Genomic DNA, 18,997 nt, shown 5'->3' with positions numbered 1-18,997 from the left:
AGATTTCTTTTCACTTTCAGATGGTACTTTGAAAGTGAATTCAGGTGGTACTTTGAGTAATATTTGCTCAAATATTAAAACAGATCATGTTATTCACAAGGAAATGTTGTTGTTACAGGTATTTAACTTAAATTGAGTTAGTCTTAACTATTGCCTAAGTCTCAGAACTGAAAAACTATTGTGTATTTTCAGATCTCTCTGGCCCAGTGATATCTTTGGCAGTTGTGAAGATGACCCTGTACAGACACTGTTACATATATATTTCCATCATCAGACGCTGGGCCAGACAGGAAGCTTTGCAGTTATAGGCTCTAACCTGGACATGTCAGAAGCCAACTACAAACTGATGGAACTTAATCTGGAAATAAGAGAGTCTCTACGCATGGTGCAATCATACCAACTTCTAGCACAGGCCAAACCAATGGGAAATATGGTGAGCACTGGATTCTGAGACACTTCAGGCCTTTAGGAAAGAAACTAAACTGAAGATGATGAAGAATATTAACCAAGCACCTTTTATGGACCCTTGCATTCACTGATAACTTTCTGGCAGCATCTACTTTTTAGTGTAACTAATGTCAAACTGTATCATCAAAAACAAAGATCTGAAAGAAAAAAACATCTGATATTTTAACAGCTGCCAATATCTCCCACAATAACTGCGTGAAGAAGGAATTTTTTAATTACTTAACCTACGTGAAAAGAAAAGGGCTAAAAGTGATGCCTACAAATACATTACTTTCTGGGGAAAGAAAAGAATTCCAAGAATGTTTGCAATAATGGCCTCCAATACTGAAACAACCAAAAGCAGGTGAAATGAGGCTGAAATCAAGGCTGTTTCATTTTAGCTGAAGACCTGCAAAGCTGCTTGGATTTCTAGCAGTTGAAAACCTAACCTGCAATTGATGCTTAATCATCCATCCACATGAACATGCAGTCAGCTATACGCATCAAGACTCGTTTGCAAAAACCATTGATTTTTCAGTATGTGGGATAAGGGTTTGGGTTTTTTTGTTTTTTGGTCTGTATAAGGAATTATGTGTGTGTGAGTTGGGATGTATGGATATGTGATAGTCATATTTTCAAGGTATGGATGTTTGGTGATAACGTCTCAGAGCATGCCTAAAAGAGCACTGCAAGATTATTTTTGAAGAAATGTTATTTTATTAGATCTAACTCTTCATAGTATGTAAATGTTAGAACATTTTAATAATATTTTAAAACTGGGCTTTCCCAGTATTTCAAAAAGAAATAATATATCTGTTAACGTTATTGGAATGCTGCTCAGTTCTCTGATCAGTGCTTATGTTATGATTGTTGATAACTAACCAAAGTAGATGCCTGCAGAGACTTTAAAATGTAAAATAAAGATGTATGCTGCCTGTCAGCTATTCTCATTAGAAAAGTTTTAACTTATTTTACTCCATATAGAAACTGTAGAGACTAAAACCAGTTATTTTCTTGTACATTTGTGCCATGCACTGTTGTTATACAAGAATAGGTGTACAAAGCTAAAGAAAAATTGTGGTCATTGATGATGGAATATATGACTTGCAGGCTTTGAAGTCTGCAGAATTCAAGAAAAGAGCTGCAAATGCATTTTTGTATCTTTATTCAGGACTCACATGCTTTACCCTAAAGAAACCTGGGGCTAGGGGAAATGAAAGGAAGCCTGAAGACTGACTACCAAAACATGCAATATACTTATTCACTGTCTAAGTCTGTAGTATAACATGAACTGGAGTCTCTATCCTTTTCTAAAATCGCATTTTGTAAGAAAAGAAAGAAAAAAAAAAAAAAAGAATGTAGTCCCACAACTCCTGATTTGAAAGAAACACCTTGTATTTTTTATATACATCTCTTATCCACTGTGACTTTTCTTTTAAACTGGGCTCTGTGATTCCAGAGTTTAGAATGTAGAAATGAAATGCTTAGCTTTACCTTTTCTTGGGGGGTGTGGACCCTGCCAGAAATGTAATTACGTATGCTCAAGTGCATTAATTGAAGGCACTGTGCACACCATTGGACTGCTGACCACAGTTAAACATTTCCAGTAAAATTTCGTAACTGGTCACAGCTCATTCATAATCACTGTATTTTTTGACCCTGATAAAGACAATTATTTTGATGGTGTTCTGGTACTGTAATTGGTATCCTTTAAATTATTTAAAACTTTTGGGTGTGGGGCAGGCAGAGAGGGATGGTGTCCAGAGATACATCACACTTTACATCCTATCTTACTGTCCTCTGTTTTTCTTACCCTCCTTACATCCTTTTTGTTAAAAATAAAAAGCATTGTAGCTGTTGGTTTGTGTTGTATTTTAACAAAGAATGAATGATTACAGTGTGCATCATTTAGAAACCTTTCAAATGTTACCTTCTTGAATTGCCCTAGAAAAGAACAAAATTAGTTGACTACCCAACCAAACCTTTCAGTTGATATTTGCTTTTTGTGTTTATTTATATGTAACTAAGTCTATTAATATAATAAAAATGAATATACCTGCAGCAAGCAAGATGCAAACAAATTCATTAGGATGGCCTTCTGCAACAGCATTTTCCTCCAACCTACACTTCTCTGCTCCTCAGCCTCTGAATCCCAAGTTAGCATTTATTAACAAATATATACCAATGCTTAATTTATTACCTGATTTAGTTCCATTTGGAGCCCAGTTTTTGCTACATACAGCCTTTTTCTTTTGCCCACTAAATTTATCATTTTTAAATAGTACGCTTATAAGACAACAGCAAAAGCAGCAATCCGGCAGTTTCTTCATGCTGCTTCTAAAACAAAACCACAGGATTTCTTATTTTAAAATATATTTTCTACTTTTAGTGATGTAAAATAGAGGGTGTGGCAAAACACATAACCTCCCTTAAATTTAGGAAATCATTACATGCTTTCTTGGAAAAGACTCAAGGGCAGAGTAAGGTTCCTCATCCAGGCCTGTGAGTGAATACTGCTCACATAAAACACCAGGATAACCTAAACAAAAGGAGAAAGACGACAGTATGAAAATCCATTTATTGGTATTTTATAGCATTTTTTCCCTAATTTTTCAAAGTAATCCATGGTTCCTTTAGAAAATAAAGGAAATATGAAGAAAACTACAGTTACTTCTCTTGATACCCAGAGACATCTTGGAGTATTTCCTTCTAACCTCTCAACTTAAAATCTATTCACATCTTTTAGTTTTTGGATTGTACACATAGAGTTTGGCAGTGCCTTTTCATTGCTTGAATGTAATCATAACTTGAATGGCATGTTTTTGTGCCACTTTGTTGAATATCTGCATGCCCACCCACCCTAGGTAAAACAGTCTGATCCTCACTTTCCTCAACTGAAAAATAGGGTTAGCTGCTAAGTTAGGAAAATTAATGGCAAGCAATATTAAAGAACAATGTAACCATATTAATAGCCAGTGAAAATTTCTTTCTTAGGACTCAATGTAGGTACATTTATGTAATTCACTCATTCATTGAGCAAATACTATTGATCACATCATTATGTATCACTTGCATGCCACAGTACAAATAATAGGTTTCCTACCCCTGTACCTACCCCCAACCAAATCAACAGGAACATGTTCGAACCAGTAAAAAACACATCGCCTTTACCCACACCAGTTCTTGTCATTTCTCTCTAGCCTTGCCACCACTTTATCAGGTCCCTGTGAGTCTCCTTATCTACAGGTATCCACTGTACAGCTGGAGTGATTTTTTAATCTATATGCCACCATGCCCCACTATCCCCACCATACCTTTAAAACCTTTTAGTGCAGCCTGGCAAAGTGCCTGTAGTCCCAGCCACTTGAGAGGCTGAGCCAGGAGGATGGATCACTTGAGCCCAGGAGCTTGAGGCCATGGTGTTCCCTGATAATGCCTGTGAGTAGCCCCTGCACTCCAGTAGAGACCATCCTCCTAATGAAGGCCTAAAACACCCTTCCAGTCTGGCGCTGCTAGATTCACCTGGCATGTCATGTCCTCCAAAGTATTCTCACACTGTGGCCTCCCCCTGGTTGTTTTCTACCACAGGGCTTTTGCAGATTGTTGTTAACCTAATCTGGAAATTTTCCCCTCTCCATTTTTGCCTCATTCGACTCATTTGAACTGGAGCTTAGCTGAGGTATCGTTCTTTTAAGCAGGGCTTCCCTGATCTCCCTAAGTCAGGTCCCTTACTGCAGAGGCACATAAGCAGATCACAGGTCAGAACCTCAGTTTTACATTTATATAAAAACTAGTGGCCATCTGCCCACTCTACTGGAAGCTCCATGAGATGCCACCTCTTCTCTACCGAGCACAGGTGCTCATGCTTCAATTCTATTAGCAACAGCTGGGGCGCCTATTAAATGTAGGTAGGACAGGTGCCCAGTAATCTGCATTTTACACGCACCATCTCTGTCCACATTGATGCAGGTGGGCCTTTCCCCTTGAGATACGGATTCTATGGAGGCCTCAAACTCACTTTGGTCCCTTTTAACAAGTGTCCAAGATGTTAAGACTTAGTCCTATGGCCTAAGGTAGTAAGGGGTTCACTTAAGTGGGATGTTTGTTAGAGAATTGGAGGCATAATTAGCACATGGTTCCAATTATATGGTTTCTGTAATTAAACCAATACTACAACTTTAATTTCATCAGATGCACCTGAGGCTCTAAACTCAGTCCCATCCTCAACTAGGAACATTCTGGCAGTGGGGCCTCAGTGTTGTCATGAGAAGCTACTAGACGCAGTTAGAGTCTGGCATCCCGACTAGCACTAAGTCAGTGAAGACAAAAGCTAAGGCCTACACCTCTAACTTGACATCTTTAAGTGCATTTTAGGAGGCCTACTTTAAAAAAAGAAGAAAAAAAAAAGGCTTTGAAGAAACACAAAGTCTACTTGATAGGTTATTCAGTGTCTTAAAAGCAGCTAGCTGCCCACAGCCACCCTGTTCCAAGCCCCACTTTTGCCACATTTGTGAAACTGACTAGTGAGCCAGGTTAGTTTTCCCAGCCTCCCTCCACCTAGTAGCTTACCTCCTAAGGTCACCTGGACACTAAAGCCTTTACCTACCCCATCACCGCCACTCAGCATTCTTACTCAACGTTAACCTCCAACGGTCTCATGCAACCAATAAATGGCTCTGCCTCCACCTCTCCCAAAAGAATGCCTTAATGTTACAGCTAGGCAGCTTTTTTTTTTTGAGATGGAGTCTCACTCTGTCACCCAGGCTGGAGTGCAGTGGCGCGATCGCTAGGCGGCTTTTTATTCAGTTAACTTCCTTCTAAGCTTCAGTCCTCCAGACCTGCCTAAATAAGTAGACCTCGTCTACAAGCACCCCCCTAAATTGTTTTCCAAGTGGCTGCAGCCTAACTCAGAGCCTGGCCCACTCTATGCCATCAGCAAGCATTCATAAAGGTGAAGTGACAGGCCCAGACTGTTAGCACAAGACAAGCGCTCTTGAAACTTTATTTTCAAAGACAGATTTTATGCAATGTATAAATCGTGTTGCAATACCTTTATTTGAAGGCTTTTTCAGAATACACTGCCTTTCATGAAGTATTTTGAGAAGGGAGAGGTGGAGGAGAGGCACGGAAAAGCTCACTCGTCTACTCCATCAGCGCATGCACAGCAACACTGACTTTCACCTAAATGATGTATTTGAAGCTGAAAGTGCTGTCACAGGACAGGCGTTTGCCTTTGCATCTACCGCACAAATCTTGACGGTGGGGCCGTTTAGGGTCCACGTGGCGAAGTTTTACTGGGCAGGAACATCTCGTTTGTTTACAACTCTGGGGGAAAAAAATACAGAAGGGCATGCAGAAGATAAACCCTTAGTGATTTCCTAGGACTTCAACATTTTTCTAGTCCATTCAAGTACTTAATGAATGTGCTCTAAGCAAGGTCCCATAGTAATCTTGTTTTCCCTCTACATCCCTACCTACGTAGCAATGACAGGGCTAGGAATAGTGGGTGTTTAACCATGCTGTACTGCTGCTATATTGCATCAGATCCAATTATGAATTGTGAAATTTCTTTTACAACAACTGTTTAAGAGAAAGGGTAGAGAACAAGTCAGGGATGAATTTGACAATGAACACCAAGAGCAGAGTGGTTAAGGCATCCTCTTTTAGAAACATGCCCAGCTCTGATCTAAGTGATTCTAAGTGGCTTTCCATACTTAGTTTCTCTCCACCACCCCAGGGTGTTAATGCTTTTAAATATCCAACGTGGGTCAAGTGTATTGATTAGGCTGTCTCAACTGGCAATTCAGACTCCATTAGCTGTGTGACAAGAGGCGAATGTAGTCACTTCTTTCCTCTTAAAGATTAGCTAAGCCCCTTAGCACAGTTAATAGCAAGCAAGCGCTTAAGCAATGCTTAGTTAACATATTGCTTGCTTACCATTATAGTCAACTCCCCATAAAGCTAGACAACTTAGATTTATCTTAAACTGTCCCTTTGTGAGCTTTCAGGCAAGACAAACTAACCCCCTGTGCTTAAGTACTTTAAGGTTGTGCTTCATAAGAAGCGTTTCGGTAAAACAGTCAACCTTGACTACCTCATGTTAGCTGACAAGCATGTTTTTGTTGATTTTCTTATACATTAGACTAAGTAGCAAGTAAGACAAGTATTCTTCCATATTGCAAGTGAGGTTAACAGTTTTAGAAGAGGTTAACAACAGCAAGATTTGCAAGGCCAGAAAGAAGCTAACACCAAGGCCCCGTTTCCCAGCTGAGTATTGTTTCTACCACTCCTAACAAAAGCCAGTTGAAACCTAAGGTCTGGGGGCCTGGCCTCTTTTTGGAAGTATACTCAAACTATACTAAAAACCCTCGACGACTGCCCAGGTCAGACAAAATGCAAAACATCTGATTTACTTGACAGGTGATATCCTCCACTCGGTAAGGGTTATAAGACTTCTGACAAGTTCTGCAAAACTGTTTGAAGTAAACCTGTGATGACAAAGAGGATAAACTTAAAATCGCCTTGACACTTTCAGCAAGAAGATGCCAGTTACCTGGTATTTCTTACCTTGTTAGTTCCCTGTACACACCACACATAAGCACTCTCCCAGCGGATGTTGCAGTCCTTGCAGTGGTAATAGCCATATTTCTGCTCTAAGAACTGAACAACAGGATATGTCAATTTAACCAACAAAACACCTGAATTATCCTTCATTTCAGACGTTGGGAAGGATCTACTTGATATTTGAAATTGGCAACTTCAGATCATGAAAGAAAGCAGGTCAGGTTTGGGTACGCCTCTTCAATACAGTAATTAAGTGAGCTTAATAGCCTAGTCAAACAATTAAGCAAGCATGGGCCTTAGAGTTCATATACCAGATTAACTCAGTTCATAAGGCTGGCTAATAAACGAATAAGTAGGGACATAATAAACAGTTCTCTAAAGTTTGGGATTCTGTAGGAAGGCCTTTTAAGATAAAGCCTGATCTTAGACTATGCACACATGTATTAAGCTGAAGAAAAATAAGACTCCACATCTAAGGAACTTTAAAGGTTCACCCAAGATCACATTCTTCATGCTGCTAGTTAACTCCCAAACAGTGGTGCCAGGAACCTAAATCGTACGTAAGCCATAATTCATATTCAATATGAACAAAAGTAGTGTTACTTAAACTTCCCTTCTTCCCTCCCAGTAAGCAAGCAGTTATGCACACGTTTTTAGAGTTAGCCTTTCAGAATTGGAAGGAACTCTGGGGAGCACTTAATTCAGTCTGCTCACCTGTGAGACTGCGCTAAGTCCAGGAAGGTTATGACTGGCCTAAGATCACACACAGCTCCTGCACAGCCACGCTGGGAAGCCCTGGCCTCTCGATTCACTCCTCGCACAATCAGCCTACCGCCACCAACCCCGCCCCTCAAAAGGAATACCAGCCTGTGGTGGCCGTGGAAGAGACCGCGAGGGACTCCCTCGGGCTTCTTACCACCTCTTGTGCCTTTCCACTTCTGCTAGGTCACAACTGCCCTCTGCGTGCCCCAGCCCTTTAAAGTTTCAGCCTGCTGCCCTCGGGCAGCAACACTGAGCAGTCCAAATGCTTTCGCAGTATTGGATTTCTGAGTTGGGGGTGCTTCTTAAAAGCAAAGCAAATTCCTAGGAAGGGGCATTTTAGGAGCTCCAGCTTTCCAATAGCCTGGAAGCTCGTAAAGGAGAAATCAGAATTGCTGACCAGAATCCCAGCAGTTGAAGGGTTTTTGCCACATCCAGTGCGGAAATGGGAGAGAGGGATCCTTGGGAATCGACTCTCCAGCCGGCAAGTGCTCCGAAGTTCAGTTGTGCCTACTGATAGGTAATCCAACCGTGCGGTCAGGGCTGGCCTATGCGCCCACTGCGCGAGGTTTACAGTGCAAATATGTGGGTTATAAGAACGTCCCAAGGGCGTCGCCCTGGCCAGCCCGTGGAGCAGCCGCCACGAGTAAGTCTGGATGTCGGGGACATGAGACTGTGCTGTCAAGGAAGACACCTATCGCGGTCATTGGCTGTCTCGGAAATACGGAAGTAGCCCACGCTTAGGGAAGCGCCGCACCTCCGAGTGCCCGAAGCAGTCACAGGGCCAGGCCCAAGGAAGACACCCGCACCCCCGGGCTCCCCTGTGCCCTGACCGCCCTAGGCTTTACCTGGAAGCGCAGCCGCTCCTTGCCCAGCTCCGGGCTCCGTGGCGACGGCCCCTCTCCCGCGACGGCCGCCTCCCGTCCGTCGCCGCCGTCTCGGGCCCTCCCCGCCGACGGAGGTTGCCCCGGGCTCCTTAGCGCCGACCGCGGAGCCGCCTCGCCCTCCTGGGCCTCTCGCGGCGGCAGCTCGGGACCGTCGGCCGGCTGCTCCCAGCTCGCTCGGACTGCGGCCTGGGCCTCGCCGTCGTCGTCGGACTGCGGCCGCCGGGGCGCCTTCTTCGTCCACACCTCCCCCTCCTCTGGGCCTTGAAGCCGCGCGGGCGGCGGCCCCCTCTCTCCGTCCGACGCCCCGGACCTCTGCTCGCCCGCCGCGGGCCCGGGCCCCTCCAGGAAGGCGGTGAGACGGCGCAAGGCCAGGGGCGAGTACACGGCGACGGTGCGCGGGAAGCGCATGGGCCGCGGGGCGCCGTTCTGGGGGCTGCCCTGCTCCAGGCCTCGACGGGATGGCTGCTGGGAGAAAGAGCCGCCACCCGTGGTGCCCTCGGCCCCGGGGCCGGCCGGGGACTCGGGGTCGCGGGCCCGGCGCTGCAGCGTGCGCCTCCCCAGCGAGCACTGTACCGCGGCGTCGATGCGCGGGCTCACCTGCACCGCCACGTCGCAGCTGCCGGCCCTGCGGGCGCGCGGCCCGAGACCCGGCCCCACCTGCGCCAGGAGAGCCATGAGCCGCTCCCGCTGGTAGCTGTCGAAGTACTCGGCGGCCGTCAGCCGCCCGCAGCCCGGGAAGGACAACGAGGCCGCGCCCGCCGAGCAGGGGGAGGAGGCGGGAAGGCAGCCCCTGCCGCGCTGCTGCCAGCTGCCGCCCGCCGCGCCCTTGCCCTTGGTGGCCGCGGGGTATGGGTACCGGTACGAGCAGGGGGGGCACGCCGGGAACACGTAACCGTCCAGCACCTCGTCCCCCAGGGCCGCCATGGGCGCACTGCTCCCGCCCGCCGCCGCACCCTAAATAGGCGACTTGCCCGGGCGGCCGAGCGGAGGCGGGGATGGCCCTCGGCGGGGGCTCGCACGCTGCACCGCCCTCCACGCCCTTCCTGCCACCGGCCCGCGTCCCCGCCGAGGGGGCCCCTCTTCGTCCTTCTCCCTACAGAAACTCTCCACGCCCGGATGTTGGCACAATGACCCTTAGATGATCTGGAAAGAGGGCTTTCTTTGTGATGAAAGGGCTGATCCGTAAGGGAACCAAGGCGCCCGAGGTGAGGAGGATTTCAATGAGAGAAACTCATCACCGGCATCAGCTGAGCCGGCTTCTCCCGGTGCCCTGATTGTTCCAGGTGCCTGCGCATCCCCCCCACCCCCGCTCCCTCACCGGGAAGCCGAGGCCAGGCCGGGTGCCTCTGGCTAAGTGAGCGAAAGTGCCAAGGTTTGGGAACTGTTCTGGGTCTATTACCCGTTAACTCAGATGATAAGTTTATTCTCAGAGCTGCTCTAAGAGGCTACCCACTGAGCCCCCTCGGCGAGTGCATGGAGAACCACCCAGGGATCTTCATCTAGGCGAATTGTTTTCTCCCCTGGAGCGTGTCCCTTCCCCCAGTCCCAGTGGTGACCGGGAGGTACCGTTTTGTTCTGCTCCAGAGCGGTTCTGAAAAATTTCCCAACCAAATCATTCCTACAAAAGATAAATTGATTTGGGGTGTGTTTACATAAATGCAGAAGACCAGTCGAAAAGAACATGGCTTGTCCACTAGAAAAATGTTGATTATTCATTAATAAGTAGATACCAGATCAAGTAATCAAATACATTAATGTAACTTTTCTCTGATACTGGTTTGACAAATACTATATTTCCTTATTTAACTGACCTGTTTTGGAATTCTTCTGAATACAGGTCAAAATTCAACATTGTGAGGAATTTTAAGTAGAGCAAGCACACTTTTTTTTTTACAACAATTACATTAAACTCAATTATGCTTTACAAAGATAGCTTGTTTTTCCTCATAGTGCGCCAAAATTCTACATTTCCAAGACCCTGTTTTCTAATAGATTCTGTATTTGCAACAGTCATAGAAATTGGTGATGGTAAAAACTAAAAACCACATTTAATTCAGGCTTCACGTTAGCCATTCCAGGTGCAAATTATATTACAGCATTGATTTGTAATTTGTGACAACGTTTGGTTAATACACCAGTGAACCTTAAAAAGATCAGAATTGTTACATGTATGATGTGAACCAGTGTTATCTTTTATGTTAACCATGTGCACTACCACAGGCTATAAATATGAAGCAATATTTCAGCAAGATAGAAGCTCCTGTGTATCTCCACATTTAGAGAGAAGTCTGAGCGGTTTCCATCATTATTATATTTTCTGCTTTCACTGTGCCATAGGAAGTGTCTGCCATTTCCTCTTCTTTTAGTTTTTTATAAGAAATATCTGTATCTTCATCTTCATCTAGAGGATCTCGCTTGTGCAACATTTCACTTCCATACATTTTATAGATTAAAACAAAAATCCCCGCTTCTGCAGACTGGAAAAGTGCATACAGCAAAGGAAACATGTACATGCTTCCTATGAATTGCGGTGGAAAGGCCAGTTTTAGAATGGCTGTACAGAGCTGCACATTCTGACTACCTGTTTCCAGACATACAGTCCTCTTGCAGTTGGGTGGAAGATGGAAGAGAGTAGCTAAACCATAACCTGAAGCGTAGCCTGCCAAAGGCATAAAAATTGCTATCACATAAACAGCTGCAGGGATACTTGCCAGCAGTTCAGGTCCTAACATAGTGCCGGTCATTATGAAAAGGACCACCAGAGTCACTAGCAGAGACCACAGGGAAACCTAGTAATAGAAAATTACAATGAGATGGTTGAAGATGAACTCAGGCGAGAGAATCCTAAGCTCACGGAAGAAAACACCCATCTAGTATGCTCTCCAACACAAAATGGAGACCTTTGACAGAATATTTCTGAAGATGGGCAGGCCACCTCTTCAGGAAGCATCCAGAGCCACATTGGGCAGCTCTGATTGTTTGGAGGCCTGTCCTTATGTCCAGGGACAATTTGCCTTCTATAACCTCTAGCCATTGAGTTGGATATAGGCTCTCAGGAGCGACAGAGACCAGCTCTTCAAAAACAAAAAACAAACAAAAAAACCCAGCTTTTCTGGCCAGGCGCGGTGGCTCACACCTGTAATCCCAGCACTTTGGGAGGCTAAGGTGGGTGGATCATGAGGTCAGGAGTTGAAGACCAGGCTGGCCAAGATGGTGAAACACTGTCTCTACTAAAAATACAAAAATTAGCCAGGTGTGATGGTGAATGCCTGTAATCCCAGCTACTCGGGATGCTGAGGCAGAGAATTGCTTGAACCTGGGAGGTGGAGGTTGCAGTGAGCAGAGATCGCGCCACTGCACTCCAGCCTGGGTGACAGAGCAACACTCCATTTCACCAAAAAAAAAAAAAAAAAAAAAAAAAAAAAAAGCTCTTCAAAAAAAAATAGCCTTCAAAAGCTTTTTTCCTGAAAAACAGCTCTTCAAAAGCTTAAAAACTGGTTATCAGGGGAAGGCTACTCTTCTTCAGGCAGATCATCCCCAAACTTAAACCTCCATCACATAACTTTGTTTTGGTATCCTGACTGTTCTGAGAATGTGTTTCATATGTGAATGTGCCTCTTAAAAACAGGGCATTTAGAACTGAACCTAATACCCCAGGTATGGTCTGATCATCAGAGCAGACAAGTGGATGTTTACTTTCCCTGAACTGAACCCCGTGTTTTCCATAAGAAATTAGTTCTCATTTTACATGAGTTAAAACTTGTGAAACTTGATTAAAATGTCTGAAGCTCAGTGTGTGATCTTTTTAACCCTCAAAATATACTGCAGAGGATTGCTTGCAATATTGAAACAATTACCTACTCTTAGATTATGTAAGAGAGAAAAATGTAAATAAATATGTGAAGAATTCTTTGCAATTTGGCAACTTTCCCCTTTTTTATTTGTTCATGAGAAACCTCCCATCTATAAGTCTGTAATGATGCTTACGTATTATTACAATAGATGGATTTCGGATACAGTACAACTGACTTCTGTATAAAACGTGTCATCTTGATGTTCTGACTGGTACATTTCACTCATTCAAATAAAACAGTCTGTATGAATTGTAAGGCGGAAATCTAAAAATTCCTCTCCTCGTTCTCCTTCATATTGGTAGTTAACTTATTTTTTTTTAATGAGGAGTGGGCAGGGAAAGGAAACTAGAGCCAGAGAGAACAGCTTAAATGTTGCTTCTGGTTCCCTGGATAGCTGGGATATCCCTTTTGCAGTCTTCGGGAATGGCGTAACTCTACACTCTTAAAAAATTATTTAAAATTTATCTGAGCTGGTCACAAATTCTACCCTAGAGGATGCTGCAATAATTATTATATAAGGTACAGATACTACAGATGCATAATTGGCAGAAACCAGGCTATTACATGTAAAAGCATACCATTTCAAAGTATGTCACATTGAAAGCGCTGACAAACAGTCTGATTTCTTCATTTTGAAATATTGGCTCCAAAGTCCCTTAGAACTATTTTAAATCATTTGGGCAAGCATTGACATTGAATGCTCATTTTGAAGTGTTTGCAAAGGTGTAACAATTATATAAACCGTTTCTTAATAGTGTGTTAATTAAAGAATAGGGCTAGGTTAACCTTAAATTCAAAGGTAGCTAATCTTATGTCTATTATATTTAAATATTAAATATATTAATTTATTAATATATTTATTTTAAATATATTTCTTGTTTTGGGTGTGTAAATAGGTCATTTGATTGACTTTCTCTTAGACTTCCTAAGGTTTTATAGTAAATGCCATCACATTAATAGCATTAGCTTAATGATTAAGATTAACAAGTTCTTAATGCATCTCAAGAGTATCTATGAGTATATATTACAGGTATTAATATATGCATATTTACATGTACACATACATTTTTACATTCACATATACATGTGTATTATGGAGCAGGATTTCTTTTACTCAAGCCTGGATATATGCACAGAAAAGAACTCTCTACTTTTCATATTAATAAAAGCTGACTCTATATAATCAAATTACTTTAGAAAATAAGTAAAACAAAAGATTATGTCTTCTTGAATCTACATAATTGAAACATTAGGGTGGCTCTTTTTCTCTTCATTTGTCTAAAGGAATTTGCCTGTGCATTTTGCAGTAATAGTTACGTATTTTATTTGATTAATTACCTGAAGTCAGCATCCTGGTCATGGTTTATTCTTTTTTGCTACTGTTTTTGAATTTTCAAAGACAGCTTAATTTTGCAAAGATTTTTTTTCCTCCAGTCAACTACTAGAATCTACTAAACTATTAAAATCTCTACTGCTACAGAAAGCATTCATTTTTTAAAAAATCAAAGCCTTAGGAGAAATATTGCACAAATTATAGAAATCCCCTATCTTTTCACTAGCTTTATAAGCCATATAAAATATTGCAATGGAGAAAGAAAAAGAAACACATTTAGTAAGGTCAACATAACCTCCATTATTTATCCAGGACCCAATTTTATTTTGTGCTTTAAAGCCAATATTTTGTGTGTTCTATTACTACAATGTAACTTTTCCATTACTTTTTGTCCTATTAGTATCAACTTACTTTTAAAAATTTAATAAAATGTTAAAGGAACCTACTACAGAGTTTCTCAGAATTAGAGTTCCATTTTTGAAAAGATAGCCATGCATTTCTAAAATACTGCACCAATTCTATTAAAGTAATTTTATTTAATCTGCTTTTATGTTTAATTATATACAATTAGTGGAAAATATGTTGCCATTTAATTACACTGTCATCTTCCCCACCCTGCTATGATCTGTTTCCTTCCAATGAGTACTGATAGTTCTCTTATGCTGGTTTTGATTAAGCTGTGTCTTAATTAAAGCTGTCATTCTAGGAATCCCAAAAGTGGAAGTTATCTTTGTAGCATAAACTTTTTAAAAAAAATTTTATCCATGCAACTACTTCCAAGTCCTTTTCTTCCTTTCCGCCTTCTCCAAACTTCCTAACATTTCTGCTGTGGGTCAGAGATCAAGGGCTCTCCAAGCTAGTATGGAAAGGGAAGAGGGGGCCTTACCTTCACAATGTAGTCAGCCACCCGGCTGTATTTGTAGCGAATGAAGACGCCCAACCCGATAGGTATGAGAGTGCTGCAGAGAGTCAGGGTCACGGTCCCTAGGGGTAGTAACTGCACGATAGGGGTGTTGATCCAAGCCCAGCTGTAGATCCACAGGCACAGGGGCATCAAGACGAGGGCCAGAAGCGTGGAGGAGATGGTCATGATGATGCTGCAGAAAAGGGAATGTGCAGAAATCAGAACGAGCTTTGAGTCAAACAGCCAGCTAACCTTTTTCTTGTATGTTGAGTAGAGGTGGAACGGGGAGACTGCAAGTCCCGGGGTTGAAGTCTGGGCAGAACCTACATCCGAGGAGAGTGCCAAGAGAGCAGCACGTCTAACACCGATGGAATTATGAACCCAAGGCAGGGAGGAAAAACAAGCCCCCTGTCTCGGTACTGCTGCCCTCGACATTATAAAGTCTATTGAGCCTGGATGATTCTGAGGGGAAGGAACGTTCTTCCTTGCAAGCCCCCTGCAAGGTAAGCCATGGTAAAGCTGCTGACTGCTACTTGTTGGTCGGACTCAACAATCCTGCACTCTATGTGAGATTACTTTCTCTGACGGGCCAGTAGCCCTATTTTACTTTTACGTTGCCGGCGAGTTCTAGTTCAGACTCCCCCTTCTCTTTGTCTTCCACTGGACAACGACCTGCGCTGCCACCCCGACGCTCGGGGAGGACGGCGAGGGACCCTGCTGAAGGGCCGCGCTGCGCATGGAATCCCAGCCTTGGAGCAGCTCCCTCGCCGTCTAGCTTGCTCCCCTAGCAGCACAACCTGCAGGTCGGCCTTGACTTCTAAAGCCGGGGCGTCATCAACTTCCTCTCCTTTTCTCCTCCTTCCTCCACGCCTAATTCCAACCCCTCCACTGCCTCTGTCCTTCGTCGTGAGCCCACGGCCGTAAACGCGCGTCTGGGATGAGACAGATGCCCAAGGAATAGACAGATCCGTACCTGAGGTTCATGTCGCCGTCAACCAGCAGGGACATAAGATTGGAGAGATTGCCGCCGGGACAGCAGCCACACAGGAGCACCGCCACGGCGGCCACCTCGTCCAGCTTGAAGGCGAGGGCCAGCAGGAAGGCCAGCAGCGGCAGGAGGCCGAACTGGCAGAGCGCTGCCAGCAGCGCGCCCACGGGCCGACGGACGTGCGCCCCGAAGTGGTTCACGTCCACCGTGCAGCCCAGGCCCAGCATGGTGATGCACAGGGCGGCGCCCACGAACACGTTCAGCCCGTGGTTCAGCGGCGTGTCCCAGAACGGGAGCGCGTGGGGCGCCCAGGGCCGAGGGAACGGGGAAGGGCCGTGGCTCGCCGCGCCGCCCGCGAGGCCGCTGGTCGTGGGCTCCGGGGTCGGAGTGGGGCCGGGGCTGAAGCCGAAGCTCGGACCCGGCCCGAGGCTGAGCCCAGGGCCGGGGCCGGCGCTGGAGGCAGGGGCGAGGGCGAGGTCCGTGCCGGGGCCCAGGCTGCTGGCATTGGGCGCCAGGGTGTAGTTGTCCCGCAGCAGAGGGGCGAAGAGCAGGGTCACGTTGTCGTTGCCGTCCATGGCGCGGCCGGAGCTGCGGATTCCGGTCCCCTCCCGCCGCGTGCCTCTCGCCGTCCCGCGGTCGCCGCAGTCGCCGCCCGTCGTTCTGCCCGTCGGTCTCCGAGCCCCGGCTGCGCGCCGCTGACGTGCTCGGCGGCGTCGGGGGCGGCGGGCCGGTCTCCGCTCCCAGGTCTGCAGCCGCCCGCAGCCTGGCACTCCGCGCAGCGCGGCCCCCCGGGTGAACCCAATCGCTGCGCCGGCTCCGCGCCGCGGCCCCGCGCCCCGCAGGCCCCGCCCCGCCCTGCCGCCCGGTCCCCTCCTGTGAATCGCCAGTAAGTGGTTCTGTTATCGAGTGTAGCCAGGGGCGGAACAAAGACCTGACAAAGGACCAGAGCAGGAAAAAACCGTTCCTGGCTGCCGATCAAGTTCTCTGATGGGCTCTGCCTCTTTATAATGAAATCTGGAGACCCAGACACACAAAGTGGAGGGGGCGGGTGGATAACCTCATCGATGCACGCTCATGGCAGAAACTGTTCCTATAGCCTGCAGCCCTAAGAGGGGTGCTTGACTTAATATGAGCGATTCTCTAGTAAGCAGGACACGATATCTGGCTTGAATTTGCAAACAATTTTTTGCATGATTTTCAGTCTTAAAGTAGAATGTAATAATAATATAGCGGGTTTTGTGCAAGTGCGTGTGCATTATTTCATTCGATTCTTACAGCAAAGCCGTGAGATAGATACCATTTTTACAAGCTCGATTTTTACAAACGAGGAAACTGAGGAACGAGGAATTCTCAGTCTTATCAACCGAACCCACAAGTACCTGGCTGAATCTGCACGGCGATGTGTCCCTAAAGAGGGCAGAGAAGAGCTTGGCTAATAACAATTTCCATGAAAAATGTGTGTTTAAGAAGTTATTGGCAGGTGGAGAGAGGATATTTCAGTGGCCACAGATTTACGAAGCTTTATGAGTAAGGCCCTGGCATTAGGATTAAAGGACTGAAAAGAAATAAAGTGCTGAGATTCCCTGCTTGAGACAGGTTTATCCCAAAACAATTCAAAAGCAGAGCTCTTAGGAATGGAGATGCAACAACTTTTAAGTCAGTCACTAGATGGCATGTAGAAAGGAAAATAATTTCGCTGCTTACCAACCAGGTGGGGCCTGTTAAGGAGGCATCTAGCTCCCTGGGGGTGACCATAAAGTGATAGTCAGTTGAGTTGTAAAAACCAACAGGAATTTCTAGAATGAAATCAAGGCTCAGTCTTAGCCCAGGGTTGCTTTCACAAGGAGCCAAGATATAGTGAATTCTTCTATCTGGGAACTTTTCCCTAACTCCTGTCCTGGCACAGAGTGACTTCTATTACCCAAGGGTGGGCTGAGCCTTTCCTCCTCCCCAAATCTCATGAAGATGATGGAGACTATGAAAAGTAAGACTTTGCAAATGCAAAGCATATTGCACTCTTCATCACAAATAATTTATTTTTTCTCTTTTGGACTGTAAATTCCACGAGGGCAGAGCTTTTGCAAGAATCTAGGAGGATAATGTACCCTTACACTTTTCCAAAACACTAAACCCAGAAAAAAAAACTTCAGTGAGCTAAACTTTAAAGGAAGTGGGTTGTGACCAAAAATATTTTAAGTTGACATGTCACCTTATGTAGGTAAAAAGAAAGATATTCAGATATACAATGATCCATGCTACCCAACCGTTACATTAGTAGACCCAGGGAAGATGTGTGGAGAAACAGACAAGATAAGGAGGGAAGGCACTGCTGAGCCTTCACAGTCTTGAAACCACAGAATGAGATAAGCCAAGAACACAAATGGCAAGGGATCCAGCTGAAGCCAACTGTGCAGGCACCACTCCTATTTGCCTCAGAAACCCTCATCATGTTAATGATATTAAAATTCACAATCACATTAAATAAGCAGTAATTAGAGGCAGACCAACTCAACTCATCCAACTACCTCCTCTCAGGGTTTAGGGAGGGACTTGGGCGGCAACTTGTGCAATGGGCGAAGACTGAAAACAGAAAGGGGCCTGGCATCATGGCTTTTGTCTGCAATCCCAGCAATTTGGGAGGCTGAGACAGGTGGATCACTTGAAGACAGGAATTCGAGACCAGCCTGGCCAACATGGTGAAACCCCATCTGGACTAAAAAGACAAAAATTAGTTGGGTATGGTGGTGTGTGCCTGTAGTACCAGCTACACAGGAGACTGAGGCAGGAGAATTGCTTGAACCTGGGAGGTGGAGTTTGCAGAGAGCCAAGATCGTGACACTGCACTCTAGCCTGGATGACAGACTGAGACTCCATCTGAAAAAATAAAAAAGAAGGGGATGATGGGCTGCGATTGTAAATCATGGGGCATGTTGCACCTGCAATCTTGGGGGATTCTTGGGACCTACACACCTGATGTCACTCCTGCTGATGGGGTGATTGTCATTGTAAAGAAAACAGGTGCTCTGGCCTCCCCTTCTTTCTCATCTTCCTCACTATGTATGAGAAAACCCCAGGATTAGGTTTAAGCCCATTCTCCAGGTGTGATGACACTGGTGTGGTGACACTGGTGAAGTGAAGTATTCTTTTCCCAAGGGGGAAACAATATGTAAAAGGGAGAGATAACATAGTACTTAGAAAATATGGCCAGGCATGGGGCTCACGCCTATGGGAGGCCAAGGTGGGCAAATCTCTTGAGCCCAG

At 45.2% G+C, this 18,997-nt stretch overlaps 3 protein-coding genes across 23 annotated transcripts in view, besides 6 other annotated features; 1 reads left to right on the top strand and 2 right to left on the bottom strand.

Moving 5' to 3' along the window:
- FRYL (FRY like transcription coactivator) overlaps positions 1 to 2,516 on the top strand; it is a 282,923-nt gene extending 280,407 nt beyond the window's left edge. For all 19 annotated transcript variants that reach the window (XM_024453991.2, XM_024453993.2, XM_011513683.4 and 16 more), the window contains one exon: positions 193 to 2,516. In XM_024453991.2, coding sequence (XP_024309759.1) covers positions 193 to 451 — 259 coding nt within the window. In that variant the 3' untranslated portion in view covers positions 452 to 2,516. The remainder of the gene's footprint in view (positions 1 to 192) is intronic.
- On the bottom strand, positions 2,238 to 9,621 carry ZAR1 (zygote arrest 1). Of its 3 annotated transcripts, XR_007096396.1 has the most exons (6): positions 8,619 to 9,621; positions 7,015 to 7,107; positions 6,861 to 6,935; positions 5,498 to 5,772; positions 2,898 to 2,986; positions 2,238 to 2,784 (listed from the first exon to the last, which is right to left on the bottom strand). XR_007096396.1 is itself a non-coding variant. In NM_175619.3 (4 exons), the coding sequence occupies exons 1-4, from the start codon at positions 9,579 to 9,581 to the stop codon at positions 5,629 to 5,631; spliced, it is 1,275 nt and encodes a 424-aa protein (NP_783318.1). In that variant the 5' UTR covers positions 9,582 to 9,621; the 3' UTR covers positions 5,484 to 5,628. The 3 variants fall into 3 exon arrangements, 1 of the variants encoding a protein (NP_783318.1); XR_925129.4 differs by having other exon boundaries at positions 2,238 to 2,986; NM_175619.3 differs by lacking the exons at positions 2,238 to 2,784; positions 2,898 to 2,986 and having other exon boundaries at positions 5,484 to 5,772.
- Positions 9,345 to 9,424: a silencer, noted in NCBI's record as "silent region_15411". NCBI's record gives its function as "represses an Ori minimal core promoter by ATAC-STARR-seq in GM12878 lymphoblastoid cells {active_cell/tissue: GM12878}" and the evidence as "EXISTENCE:reporter gene assay evidence [ECO:0000049][PMID:35858748]".
- Positions 9,475 to 9,724: a silencer, noted in NCBI's record as "silent region_15410". NCBI's record gives its function as "represses an Ori minimal core promoter by ATAC-STARR-seq in GM12878 lymphoblastoid cells {active_cell/tissue: GM12878}" and the evidence as "EXISTENCE:reporter gene assay evidence [ECO:0000049][PMID:35858748]".
- Positions 9,950 to 10,487: an enhancer, noted in NCBI's record as "H3K4me1 hESC enhancer chr4:48491403-48491940 (GRCh37/hg19 assembly coordinates)". NCBI's record gives its function as "activates a minimal SCP1, AML or CMV promoter by ChIP-STARR-seq in naive H9 embryonic stem cells {active_cell/tissue: H9 hESC(naive)}" and the evidence as "EXISTENCE:reporter gene assay evidence [ECO:0000049][PMID:30033119]".
- Positions 10,347 to 16,530, bottom strand: SLC10A4 (solute carrier family 10 member 4). The gene is made up of 3 exons (NM_152679.4): positions 15,722 to 16,530; positions 14,731 to 14,941; positions 10,347 to 11,446 (listed from the first exon to the last, which is right to left on the bottom strand). The coding sequence occupies exons 1-3, from the start codon at positions 16,309 to 16,311 to the stop codon at positions 10,934 to 10,936; spliced, it is 1,314 nt and encodes a 437-aa protein (NP_689892.1). The 5' UTR covers positions 16,312 to 16,530; the 3' UTR covers positions 10,347 to 10,933.
- Positions 16,351 to 16,480: a silencer, noted in NCBI's record as "silent region_15409". NCBI's record gives its function as "represses an Ori minimal core promoter by ATAC-STARR-seq in GM12878 lymphoblastoid cells {active_cell/tissue: GM12878}" and the evidence as "EXISTENCE:reporter gene assay evidence [ECO:0000049][PMID:35858748]".
- Positions 16,561 to 16,610: a silencer, noted in NCBI's record as "silent region_15408". NCBI's record gives its function as "represses an Ori minimal core promoter by ATAC-STARR-seq in GM12878 lymphoblastoid cells {active_cell/tissue: GM12878}" and the evidence as "EXISTENCE:reporter gene assay evidence [ECO:0000049][PMID:35858748]".
- Positions 17,865 to 18,260: a transcriptional cis regulatory region, noted in NCBI's record as "candidate enhancer chr4.1483 targeted for multiplex CRISPR interference". NCBI's record gives its function as "positively regulates SLC10A4 gene expression with high confidence in K562 cells {active_cell/tissue: K562}" and the evidence as "EXISTENCE:mutant phenotype evidence [ECO:0000015][PMID:30612741]".

The sequence above is a fragment of the Homo sapiens genome, chromosome 4 (assembly GCF_000001405.40).
Source record: "Homo sapiens chromosome 4, GRCh38.p14 Primary Assembly".
NCBI classification, from domain to species: Eukaryota; Metazoa; Chordata; class Mammalia; order Primates; family Hominidae; genus Homo; species Homo sapiens.
Note: the sequence above shows the minus strand (reverse complement) of the source record. Positions and strands in the feature narration are given on the sequence as shown.

Bases quoted from the DNA above. Each gene is read 5' to 3' on its own strand.
- SLC10A4 (NM_152679.4), bottom strand. From the start codon at position 16,311: ATGGACGGCAACGACAACGTGACCCTGCTCTTCGCCCCTCTGCTGCGG. The intron at 14,942-15,721 runs GTACGGATCTGT...CCTTTTCTGCAG, and splicing joins GACGGCGACATGAACCTCAG to CATCATCATGACCATCTCCT. The intron at 11,447-14,730 runs GTAAGGCCCCCT...TTCTATTACTAG, and splicing joins TGGCTGACTACATTGTGAAG to GTTTCCCTGTGGTCTCTGCT.
- ZAR1 (NM_175619.3), bottom strand. From the start codon at position 9,581: ATGGCGGCCCTGGGGGACGAGGTGCTGGACGGTTACGTGTTCCCGGCG. The intron at 7,108-8,618 runs GTAAAGCCTAGG...CCTGTTGTTCAG, and splicing joins AGGAGCGGCTGCGCTTCCAG to TTCTTAGAGCAGAAATATGG. The intron at 6,936-7,014 runs GTAAGAAATACC...TTGTCATCACAG, and splicing joins GTGTACAGGGAACTAACAAG to GTTTACTTCAAACAGTTTTG.